At 38.1% G+C, this 13667-nt stretch overlaps 1 annotated feature.

Annotated features, from left to right (window-relative positions):
• Positions 11375-11875: an enhancer, noted in NCBI's record as "H3K4me1 hESC enhancer chr5:143978403-143978903 (GRCh37/hg19 assembly coordinates)". NCBI's record gives its function as "activates a minimal SCP1, AML or CMV promoter by ChIP-STARR-seq in naive H9 embryonic stem cells {active_cell/tissue: H9 hESC(naive)}" and the evidence as "EXISTENCE:reporter gene assay evidence [ECO:0000049][PMID:30033119]".

Here is a 13667-nt window from a genome sequence, read left to right as displayed (position 1 = left end):
AAAGAACATTTTTGAAATAATTAGAAAAATTCAAACATGGACTAGGAATTAGATGACATCAGGTAATTATTGTTATATTTATATGCAACAATGGCATGGAGGTAATGTTAACATAAGTATTAGTAAAGTAGTTAAAACTACCAAAATTAAGTAGTAAAGTGATACAACACTGGATCATGTTGTGTTTCAAACATATTCCAGTGATACCACACTGGGATATGTTTTAAAATTTAACAGAAAAAAACAAATAGGAAGCATGAATATAAAATAGCATTAGCAAAATATTGATGTTTTGTGGCAGACACATAAAATTGATTTTACTGTTCATTTTATGTATCTTTGACATTTTTATACTAAACATAGTTCAAAATAATAACTTAGTAATAATATACTCATGAGTTTTACTTAAGCCACGAAAGGCAAATATGTGGTGTGCCATCACTTCTGCCTTCCTTGCCCACGGAACACACTGTTAAATGATGAAGGCACATTTTCCAATAAGCAAGACTAACTTTCTCAGTCAAACCCTCTCTCTGGACAAACAGAAAGAACATAAATTGATGCTAGCATGAAAAAATAAAACATCTCTGCAATTGTCCCTGTGATATAGTCTAGATGTTTGTTTTCTCCAAATTTCATGTTGAGATTTAATCCCCAGCGCTGGAGGTGAGGCCTGTAGGAGGTGTTTGGACTATGAAAGCACATCCTCCATGATTTGGTGCCATCTTTGCAGTTATGAATGAGCTCTCACTCTTAGTTCACATGAGAACTGGTTGTTAGAAAGAGTATGACACAACCCACCCCCTTTCTCTCTTGCCATGTGATGCCTCCTCTCCTTTCCCTTCCACCATAATTGGAAGCTTCCTGAGGCCCTCACCAGAAGCAGTTACTGGTATCATGCTTCTTGTACAGCCTACAGAACCATGAGCCAACAAAACCAAACCCTTTTCCTTAGAAATTACCCAGCCTCAGGTATTCCTTCACAGCAACACAAATGAACTGAGAAATCCTTTATTCCATTTTATTTTCTCTATCTCTCTCTATGAGCCAGCATTTCTCTGATTTTATCATGAGATTTTTACTATGTATACCCAAGAATCTACTAGGGAGAAGAAGATTGTGGAAGATATTACTAGAGCTCCTCAATACCAATTTTCCACTTCTAGGCCCACAGAAGTGTCTTCTTGTGTTCAGTAGATGGGAACCATGACAACTAAAAAGCAAGGCAACCTGTGTTTTTGAATGACAATATAAAAGACAGCTGGCCTGAGGAGTTGTTTGGAACTACAGAAGTCTTTAGGTCAACAAGAAATAAGATTTCATTGTGTTAAACTGCTGTTATTTGACAGGTTTTTGTTGTTGTTGTTGTTGTTGTTGTTGTTGTTGTTGCTGCTGTTGTTACAGCCCTGCCTATAAGGCTAGATTAGCTTGATTAATAAGGAGGTAGAAATGGTAATATTTATTGTAAGTATGTAATAATTTTAAAATGGGTATTTTAAAATTGTGTACTACAGTACATTTTAGTAATGATAATAACTATTAATCAGTTGATTATTATATATTAGATACTCTGATTTATGCTTTACAAAAATTACTTTATAATTGTTACATGAATTATAGTCATAAGAACATACAAGGAGGGTTTTACATTTTATATCCAAGAAAATTAAGGCTGAGCTGATAAACAATTTTCTCATGTTTACATAACTATAAAACAAGGAAGCCAGAATTTGAAACTAGGTCTATATAACTCTGAAGCCCATGCTCTTAACCATTGTGCTATAGGCTTTTTGAGGGTAGACACAGGGCTCTGTATTTTTATTGTAGTTGTCAGTCTTAGTAAAAAATGCTAAGTTCATATTGTATTCAGCATACGCTGAATATAATAAATGAATACATTTTAATGCAGAGAGTAAAGAACATAGTTTTAGGAAATACGTTGGGAGAGGGAGTTCATTAACTATTAAAAAGTCATCTTTTTCATATTTTACATCATCCATAACAGATTGGAAGTTTCTGGTATACTGTTCCATTGCTAAGTATGCTTTGGTTTTAAGGAGCTCATTTTAAACAAGCAATGTGTGTGAAGGCGAGAAGGGGATGGATTGGGAATACTAGGAAGAAACTCTTAAATTTTATTATTTATTCTGTTTTCAAATATTTGTTGAATATTACAAATATTATAGTAATAGAGTCATGACTAATATTTATGAAGCAAATGATAATGCGCCAGACTCTGATATATACTTTTCATATATTACCTCATTTAGAGCTCAAGCAGTGCTATATGAGTACTATTGTTATACACACTTTACAGATGAGAAACATGATAGTCAGGGAGGTTAAAGGACTTGCTCAAGGTGACAGATTAGTTTAGTGGCTCAAATACTGATCCCAGCCCAGAGCAAAAGTTCTTAACTACTACACTCTGTCTTCAGCATTGTCCTTTCTGCTTCTCCTTGCCATCTAAACAGTGGCAAAGATACTTTGTGAAAAAGAGAAACATTTCTGGTAGACATTGGAATGCTGGGAAAAAAACACAAAAGTTTGAAATTTATTCCTGTTTAGAAAATTATCTTTTTCTTCAAATGAAAAAGTCACTCCTTGGCATTTTCTTTAGGCAAAATTTATGGCTTCTTTTGAAATTCTTAACATTATTTCTGAATTTCCAGGAGCATCTCAATGGAGATGAGTAAATTTTAATAATTAAGGTTTCCACATAATTTGAGGCTCCTCTTGCAACCAGGTCAACAAGATCAAGACCTAAATTAACACTGACTTTACCTTCCCACTTGACTTGAACTTTGACCCAGAACATTTTTGACATCTGTTATCCAATTCTGACGTTTAGAAAGATTAGTTGGAAACAAGAACAAAATATTTAAGTGTAATATCTATGAATTATAGCATCTTAGACTTAGAAGACACTTTATATTATCATCTAGTCCAAACTTCTCATTTTACAGATGAAAGGAGGGGTCTTGTAACCAAAATCTCAATATGAAATCATTCTTATCTGTAAAGAATGGCAAAATAGTCACCAAGCTTAATTTTAAGCACTGGAGGATTTACATGATGGCATGATAGGAGTAGTTAAATAGAAAATAAAAAACTAAAACAGCTATAGAGTTTCCTTCTCTATAAGTCTGGAAAATCCAAGTGACTTCCACCAATATAAAATAACATGTCATAAACAGACACTTTTAAAAGGAAGACATACATATGGTCAACAAGCATATAAATTGCTCCACATCATGAATCATTAGAGAAATGCACATCAAACCATAAGGAGAAACTATCTTACACCAGTCAGAATGGCTATTATCAAAAGGTCAAGCCACCACCTTGATGCTGGTGAAGTTGTGGAGAAAAGGGAATGATTAAACACTGCTGGTGGGAATGTAAGTTAGTGCAGCCATTGTGGAAAGCAGTTTGGTGCTCTCTCAAGGAACTTAAAACAGAACTACCATTTAACTTGGTAATCCCATTCTTGGGCATATACCCAAGGGAATATAAATCATTCTACCATAAAGACACATGCATGTAGATCATTGCAGCACTATTCACAGTAGCAAAGTCATAGAATCAACCTAAATGCCAATCAACGGTAGATTGGATAAAGAAAATGTGGTACCTATACATCATGGAATACTATACGGCCATAAAAAAGAATGCTCTCATGTCTTTGGCAGCAACATGGATGGAGCTACAGGCCATTGTCCTAAGTGAATTAACACTGAAACAGAAAACAAAATACATGTTATCTCTTGTAAGTTGGAGCTAAATATTGAGTACATATGGACACCAAGAAGGGAACAACAGACACCAGAGCATACTTGAGGGTAGAGGTAGGGAGGAGGGTGAAGATCAAGCAATTACCTTTCAGATACTATGCTTATCATCTGGGTGGTGAAATAATCTATATGCCAAACCCCCATGATATGCAATTTACCTGTATAACAAACCTGCACATGTATGCTTGAACCTGAAATAAATTAAACATATATATATATATATATATAATCCATCAAAAAAGAAAAAATGACATCCTTATACTCCCCATAATAGCCAATCAACATTAGTTCATTGCTTCACAAATGTTTATAGAGTGCTTCCGAGGGGCCCAATTGCTTTTGAGTTCAAGTGGTAAGCAATACAGAAAACATACCTGCCCTCGTGAAGCTTATGTTTTAATGAGACAGAAAGGTAAATTAAAAGTGTAAAAATTAACCAGATAAATGTAAATTAGATATTATAAAGGACATAATAGAGTGAAGGAAGAGTAAATGGGGTGGAATCACTTTATGAAGGGTAATCAAGTAATCTATTGGACTGAGATCTAAAATATAAACACAATCACCAGGCAGAGCAGGTGCAAAGAATTCCAAGAAGAAGGAACAGCTAGTGTAAAGGTTCAGAAGTGCCTTGTATGCATAAGAAACATGGCTTTATGGTCAGCTAAACAATAAAATATATTTCTCCTCTGGCCTCACTAAATCCTTATATTAAATTTCCCTACCATTATCCACTTAAGTTTCTAAATTTTCTTTCCTTCCCCCAACCTGATTTATTTATTTTTATTTTTTATTTTTATTTTTTGAGATGGAGTGTCACTCTGTCACCCAGGTTGGAGTATAGTGGTGCGACCTCAGCTCACTACAACCTCCACCTCCCGGGTTCAAGCAATTCTCCTGCGTCAGCCTCCCAAGTAGCTGGGACTACAGATGCACACCACCACACCTGGCTAATTTTTATATTTTCTTTTGTTTTAGTAGAGATAGGGTTTCACCATATTGGTCAGGCTGGTCTCAAACTCCTGACCTCAGGCAATCCACCCGCCTCAGCCTCCCAAAGTGCTGGGATTACAGGCATGAGCCACCATGCCAAGCCCCCGCCACCTGATTTCTTTACTGCTTTTATGTGGATGTCTATCTGTCCCAACCTAAAATCTCTAAGGAGATTCTAATCTTTCAATAACCACTGGAAGTATTCCCTGTACACATTTAATTCCAGTATGTCTATACTGATCAATCTAATTTCTGACACAGGCCAAGAGCCAACATCTCCATGTGTGTAGACAGACGGAAAAGAAATGTCTAATATCCCATCCCACAGAGATACTCTCCAGTAATTCCTTGACCACTATACCCACGGGACAACAACAAAAAAAGGAGTTTATAATTTCAGTGCTGTGTTAATAGAACCTACTGATTAGCATTATTCATGTGTGTTGTCAGTGTGTCAGCTTTGATTTTCTACTCTGACAGGCATTTAACTACCAGGAATGGGCCTATTCTAGGTCCCGTAGAAATTATAAATAACATTTGGAATTATGGTTCCTCTCTTCAAGATTGTAATATTTTTCTTCTCTGAGGGTAGAAAAATGAATTTATACTATTCATAGTGTCCTATATTTTTCCTCATTAGCAAATATGTTAATTGTAATTAAATATCCTTGTGAATAATTATTTGTTTAATATCCTCCACTAAAGGTTAAATACCTTGGGAATAAGGGGAAGGTTTGTATTAATTTAATATTACATAAATGAACAGCTGACACAGTGATACATAGTAGGTACTAATCAAATATTCTTGGATATATGAATGAAGAAATTAATTATACTTATTTGTGTCACTCACAATCTAGAATGGTGCTAATCTGTTTGGAACAGGAAGAGGCAAGACATCAACTCATGAAATTTCAACTCATGAAATCTCACTCAGCAGATGTTTTAGTAACTATTAGGTGCTCAGGCTTGTGCTGGGAATAGATTAATGAGCAAAATTAGGAACGTTCTCTGCTTTTACTGAGCTGATCATCTGGTTGTGGAAACAGATCCTAGTCAGAAAATCACATGCAGTAAAGCACACCTCAGACAAATGCCATAAAATTGCTGGATAGTGGCTCATTTAGATTTCAGTAGCTGTAAGCAAGAGGCTGCCAGTGGAAAAGTGAAGACGGTCACCTGCCCATAAGAATGCAGGTATAGTTTGGATTTCTCTCTTTACTACTCAATAGCTACCTCTTTGTTCATGCCCATAGGCAACATAGAACATGCTGCTACATTTTACCCACTAAAATACTCTTCTTATGCTCTATATCCCACCACCCTTTTCAATATTTCTTCCTGATTTTTATTCAGCAACTTCACTCCTGGATTCTGTCTCTTCACTGGATCAATTTAGCTAGACTCACAGTTGATCACCCTGCCAGGCTTTCAGGTTTGGTTGGATTATACATCTTTTTTTCCCCCTCCAGATCCTTGCTTGGCAGTTGTGTGGACCAGTCTCTGTCCATCCCAGCAACCAACCTATGTCTCAGAATCCCAATCTCTGGGCTTTTGTTTGCATTGTGGGGGAGTTGTGACTTCTGTCATATACCTCCCTGCCTCTGTGTCAGTAGCCTCTTTTTCACCAAGCTGAAGGGCACGTACCATTTTTTCCAGCTTCTCTAAATCTAATCCGCATGTTCCAGATCTGTTCAAGGCTGATATCCCCCAGGAGGTTTCTCATCACTCTGTTGTCTCTGTACTTTACACAACTTTCTGTTACTCCACTCAGCAATAAAAGTAATACTTAAAAAATGTAAGTCACTTAATGTCACTCCTTGCTTGAAACTCTCTACTGGCTCCCCTTTCTGCTCAAAATAAGACCCAAATCCCTTACCATGCCCTGCAAGGTCCTACTTGATCTGTCCCTACAATCCTCTTAGATAATATTCAATATTATTCCATCACTCCCACGAAGTTTCTGCACACTGTCTTTCTTTGGGTTTGTAAAACATGTCAAGCTCCTTTCCACCCAATGGCCACGGCATCTGGCATTCCGTTTGTGTGCAAAACTTTCTCAGTCTCCATATCATTGCCTGCTGTCTAGTTCCTGCCAATCTACCATTGTCTGCATTGAGAGACCTTCCCAGGGCATCCACTCCAAAGCTACTTCTACTGAACCCTAGCCAATCTCTATTATATTGTCCTAATTTATTTTCTCCATAGCTTTTATCACTCTCTCAAGTTATCTTGTTTACTTATATAAATATAAATCATTACCTTCATAAGTGCCTAAGGTGCCCAGTCAATCTTGATTATTCAGAAGGATGAATGCATCTCTATTTTGCAGGTGATAATTTACTCTGTCCATGAACATAGGCATCCATTGGTACCACACATTTTTTTCTGCTGAAGTCTGTTGAATCTTCCCTGAAACCTCTTAGAAAGGAGTTAAATCATCCTCCTCTTTCTTGCATGTTCATGCACATTTGATCCATGGAGATTACTCAAATATTATCTTCCTCAACAAACTCAAGGACTGCAGGCTACTAAATGCTCCATTAATCACCATCAAAGCAACTAGCCAACCCATCTTTCACTTCTTATTATATACTCCAGGAGGAAAAGATTCAGGTTTACTGTGTACCAAACTAAAGAACAAGCATATTAAACTTTTAGTAGTTCTTCCTCAAACACCTTTCCTTAACTTGAGATGAAGATGGAAGCAGCCACACTTGTCCCATCCTTAGAGGAGGAGATCACACTCAGAGAACCCCAAATGCTCTCTCCAAAAATCTTCTTCTATCTTCATATGCTGACATTTAGTTGTGCTCATTGCAGGTAAAGGCTTTTGGAGATGTAGAAATAGATTTCAACACCATTTTTAAATGTTTATATTATGGCCTCAAATTTCACTTTAGAACATGGTATTTATATCATGATGCTTCATCCAAAACTTCCATTTCAACATTAGTAATTATCGATATCCATAAGTGCATTCAAGATCTTTAGTAACCAATATGGCACAGGCACCTACAAGTCACAAGGGGAACTGGCTGAAAACTGGTACAACTATGCTATTTATATCAAAGTAACATTAGCCCTCTCTGCCCCCTACCACTAGTATCTACACCCTATGAAAGCAAGAAATCCATCTGTTTTGTTCACCACTGTGTATTATTTGAATCAAAAAGAATACCTGGTATAGATTACCTGTTCAGAAAATATCAGTTAAATGAATTGAATTAACTTTTACCATGTGCCAGAGAACACTGATAAAACATTTATATTAAAGTACATTCCTCAAACATATTTATTGTTCTTTTTTAGATAAAAGGACTGAAGTTCAAAGCAGAAAAATGGCTTTTTCAAGGTCATGCATGTGAAAATGTATGAGCTGGAATCCAGATCTAGACAGTTTGACTCCAGAATACTTAACTCATTCTATTAGACTGTCTTTTAGGTGCAAGTCTAATAGGTGCAGTGTACTGCCAGCCCTCCATGGCTAACACTGAACCTGGTGCTTCTTAGATTCTAACCAAAAAAACTAATAATAAAAACAGCACAGATAACTACAGTACAATGTGTAATTTATGTGCCATAAGACTTTAGGAGAAGGCAGGATCAAACTTCATTGGGTAGGTTGCCTTTCAAAAAAAGGTTCTTAAAGATGATCTTTTCTCAGACTACTCTGAAAAGAAGCATTCAATAATTTTAGAGGGGTAGTAAAAATATTCTAGTAGAATGAAATGGTAAGGTTGTGGTACAAACAGAAAGAAGAGAATTAAGAGAATTTATGAAGCCAAATCTATCAAACTTGGTAACTGATCAGATATTAAAGACGAGGAGAAAGTCTAATTGACTCTTGATGTAAGGACTTGAGAGCTCCAAATTAAAAACAGGGAGGCAAAGGAAATGTTACCATTAAGAGAAATACAAGTCTAATAGTAATTTGGAACAGAAGCTAAAGGGAATATAACAAGAGTCCTTTGGACCAGAAATATAAGTAAAAGGACTAGTTTGAATCCTCAGAGGTCCACCCCAGGTAGTGAGGTTCAAAAATCTGTAATGAACCTAAAGAGCATCTTTCAAAAGCTCTAGCTTTGATTCCAGAAAACAGACAAATTTGTTAATTAACATATCTCTTTCCACAGAAAGATAAGAGATGGTAATTGGGCCAAAATGGTCTTTGTGGTTCCTAATAGGTCTTTTATTATTTCTGGGACCCTCATTACAATGCTTGGCAGATACACAGAAATTATGTTTGTCTTTCTAGAGTCTTGTTTCCCAAAGGTTACACACAGTCTTGCCTTTTATGTGTGACTACAGGAAACTGCATATATGACTACAGGATGGCTTTGAGAATTGCCCATCCTGCCTTTGAACAACATGGAATAGACAGAGTGAGAGATGCCAGTAGTAAGGTATGTAGATAACGTGTCATTTTTCACATATACATCATTATCCAGAACCATTCACAATTGAGATTACAGTTAAAAAATCACCAGAGATTTGTGAACTTTTATATATTTATCCATAGGTCATTCACTTCTGTATCTATCATTCCCTAAATGATGCCCTAAAATACCAAACAAGAATTAATTCCTGAAAGTGCTTGATTAATGTGAATATGACAAATCAGAAAAAGGTCTCTGCATCACCAAAAGAATGCTGAAATGATTAATATTGCTAGAATGTGTTTCAGGACGTCAAACCTTGACATGGGGACCCTTCCCCAACTTAAGAGCAATCTCAGCATGTTTGAAGCTTATTTGAATGATGACAGTAGAAAATGCGGGAATTTTCATGTGATTCTTAACCTGTCTTTGGCAATCAGCAACTATTTGTCCAGTGTCTCAAGTCATGTCCATTAAAACAAGAATAGAGAGAGTAAAAGTTGAATTCAAGGTTAAACCCTATGTTACTTCTGCCATATCAAAAACTTAGAGTTAAGAAAGCAAAACTAGCAACCAGAAAATGCAAGTTCTAGTTAAATATTGGCAAAGTAAAAATATTTTTTACTTTGCTTACTTCCCAAGGTAGTTCTGGGAATAAAAAGGTTATAGTGGTTGTAACACTTTGCAACAAGCAGACTAATTTCGTCTATTCATGTGTTCTTTTCATTTATTAATTTAACAAATATTTACTAAGTATGGTAATCTCCCTCTTATCCTAGAGGTATACATTCAAAGACTCACCATGGATACCTGAAACTTCCAAGACCTGAACCCTGTATATACTACTTTTTTAATCTAATAACTGAAACAGCTACTAAATGACTGATAGGCTCGAAGTGTATACAGGGTGGACCCTCTGGATGAAGAGATGGCTCATGTCCCCAACAGGACACAGCCAGATGGCATGAGATTTCATCATGCTGCTCAGAACACAGCACAATTTAAAAATTGCATTATTTCTGGAACGTTCTATTTAATATTTTCAGAACATAGTTGACCACATGTAAGTGAAACTGTGATACACAAAACCATGGATAAGGGGGAACTACCTTCATTTGTGCAAGGTACTGTACTTAATACCTAGGTAAACATTAGTGAGAAAAACAAATTGTCTCTGCTCTTTTGGGTCTTCCTTACTAGCTAGTGGCATATTTATGTCAGACGTTAGTATTAATATTATGCCATGCACAGGCTATATCCTAATCTAAGAATCATGGGTATACATATGAAATACACACATGCATAAATATTTCAAATTCTGCTCAGGGGTTGTTCACTTAGAAGGTAGGATTGGAGCCAAGCAGACCTATGCTTGTAAGCAGGCTCTACCACTTACTAGAATGTGACCTGGAAAATGTAATCAATTTATATTATTCTTTGAAGTCTTTATATGTACAACGAGGGGAAAAATAATTGCTTAATCTTAGGGTTGCTAGAATTTAATGACATAAATTTTATTAAGCACTCATTTGGCATACATAGAGTCCTCTATAAATTATGACTTAAAATTATATTTGGTTGAAATAAGCCAGTCGCAAAAAGACAAATACTGTATGATTCCATTTAGATGAGGTACTTGGAGTAGTCAAAAATCATAGAGACAGAAAGTAGAAAGGTGGTTGTCAAGAGTCGGGATGAAAAAGAAAAAGGGGAGATTTAATTGAATTTGGAAAGAATTTCAGTTTTACAAGATGAAGAGTTATAGAAATGGATAGTGGGTGATGGTTGAGCAATATTATGAATGTATACGGTACCAGTGAAATGTATGTATACTTAAAAATGGAGGGCCGGGCGCGGTGGCTCACGCCTGTAATCCCAGCACTTTGGGAAGCCGAGGAGGGCGGATCACGAGGTCAGGAGATTGAGACCATCCTGGCTAACACGGTGAAACCCAGTCTCTACTAAAAATACAAAAAAAAATTAGCCGGGTGTGGTGGCGGGCGCCTGTAGTCCCAGCTACTGGGGAGGCTGAGGCAGGAGAATGGCGTGAACCCGGGAGGCGGAGCTTGCAGTGAGCCGAGATGGCGCCACAGCCGTCCAGCCTGGGCTACAGAACCAGACTCCATCTGTAAAAAAAAAAAAAAAAAAAAAAAAAAATGGAGAATATGGTAAATTTTACGTTACATGTATTTTCTCACAATAAAAAAATTTAAAACAAAATTGACTTGCAGAGGTTCACTTTCGTCACACAGCGATGGGGGAATGGACTGTCTCCCCTCCCAGCTCTCAGCTGAAGCTTGTAGCTGAGGACTACTTTGAGCGTTTCTAAATAATGCAGGTGGCTAGAGGCAGGCTCAGGCCTAGGTACAGGTGCTAGTTCAGCCTGCCTGATTACAGTTCATTCCCACGCAGGATTTTCAGGCCCTGGTGCTCTCACAATAACCCAAAGCTGGCGGAGGTACATCCGCTCAAAGCTCCCCTGTCGGCTTAAGGGAGATACGAGGCCCCTGCAACAGCTGGAAGCGGAGCCAAGTGAGTCAAATGTCACCTCAGGGAACAGCTCAGGGACACTGATTATTCACTTCCACTGGGAGCGGTATGCCTTCCTCAGGCCATTCCCCAGGAACCGAACGGGAAATCGGTTGGCCATCTCTCTCTCCACCGGAGGCGGGCAGTGGAAGGAACACCTGCGCAGCCCGGAGCCTGGCAGCCCGCCCACCCCGCTGCTGCCGGCCCTGGTGCTGCAGGTGACACGCGTGCACACCCCGACCCCCTCGGAGGGCCAATTAAGAAAGCCTCTGGGTATAGTGCGGGAAGAATCGCTGAGGTAAACCTGCAAGAGTGTCAGGGGCTATTTCTACAGTCTTGCCGCGCACGCTGCGCTGTCAGCTCCTGCCACTTGAAAGCAATTGAAGCAGGCGCTGCATTAATATGTATTATTCCTCCTTTAAACAGCATTTGATCTGAGGGTGTGAAATGCCACGCACGGAAGCTTCCCCATGAGCCTGCTCTCCAGCGTCCTACTTCTCTCAGCGACATCCGCTACCAAAAACCTGGAGGCTGGAATTTCCAGTTAATTAGCAGAAGGCTAAGCTGCCACAATGCTGCTGATGCAATGTTCTTTTCTCCTCGGTCTATCTATTTGGAGTTCTTTTCTGCTGGATCACCTCAAAGATGCTACCCTAATGTGCTAAGGGGTGTGTGTGAGTTTCCTAGGGCTGCTAGAACAGACTACCACTATGTGGGTGGCTTAGAACAACAGAAATTTATTCTCCAGCTGTTCCAGAGGCCAGAAGTCTAAAATCAAGGTGTCTGCAGCATTGGTTCCTTCTGGGGGATCTGAAGGAGAATGTGTTCTGTGCTGCTCCCCTGAGTTCTTGTGGTTGCCAGCAATCCTTGGGTTCCTTGGCTTGCAGCAGCTGAACTCCAGTCTGCCTCTGTCTGTACTTGAGCTTCTTCCCTGTGTCTTCTCTGTGTCTCTGTCTTCAAGTCTCTCTCTCCTTATTAAGACACCAGTCATTGGACTTAGGGTTCACCCTAATTCAGTATGACTACCTCTGACATTTATTACAATTGCAAAGACCTTATTTCCAAATAAACTCACATTCACAGGTAGTGGGAGTTAGGACTTCAACCTATCTCATGGGGAGAGACAATTCAACCCGCAACAGGGTAGAAGGAGAGAGAACTAACTAGAATTCTGCTCTATCTTTAGAGCAGTTTCTTCAAAAAGTCTCCTGGTCTTCCATGTAGTGAGTACATGGTAGAGCTAGAATCAGAATTCAGGTGGCAGCTGCTTACTCAGTTACCAGAGAAAGTGACAGGAAAATGGTGCAGTCAATTCTCATTATTCATGGTAGTTGTTCTAAAATATTGTCTTGAATACAGAAATAGCAGATATTAAACCACTGCTCCAGGGGAAAACAAGATTAGGTTTCTGCAAGCCTCTGGTCACAACATTTTTGTCAGCTGATCAATACATAACCTTGTTTTATACGTCTCTGTTTATAGACATCTTATTTCATATATATTGTTGATTCTTTAACATTGAACTCACGGCAAACACTATGCCTTGAGCCTGAACAAAGCTTACCTGACACACATATTTTTTCCTTAAAACAGTGAAATCACCAGCAAAATGCTCAAAAAATGTGAAAAATGTAGCACTAAATAGATCCCCAAAGGACACTTGTTTAAAGCTAAAACAAGAAGGCAAAGCATTGCCTTGTGAAACCTCAGCTGGGAATATGCCTGTTAGGCAGCTCAAATTTTATGCCACTCAGAACACATCTGAGTGTGACCATCAAAGCACCATGACTATTTGTTTTAGGATTACAAATATAGTGAGTGTGCAAATTCACAAATATGGAATCTGAATAATGAGGACCAACTATAGACTGTATGTTGCACCCATTCTCAACAGGTTTATGAACAGGCACCATGCTGGGTACTGATGATATAAGAATGAATAATACAGAAGGAGCTTAATAAGAAAGACAGA

Source organism: Homo sapiens, chromosome 5 (assembly GCF_000001405.40).
Source record: "Homo sapiens chromosome 5, GRCh38.p14 Primary Assembly".
NCBI lineage: Eukaryota > Metazoa > Chordata > Mammalia > Primates > Hominidae > Homo > Homo sapiens.
This window is presented reverse-complemented; position numbering and strand designations above follow the sequence as displayed.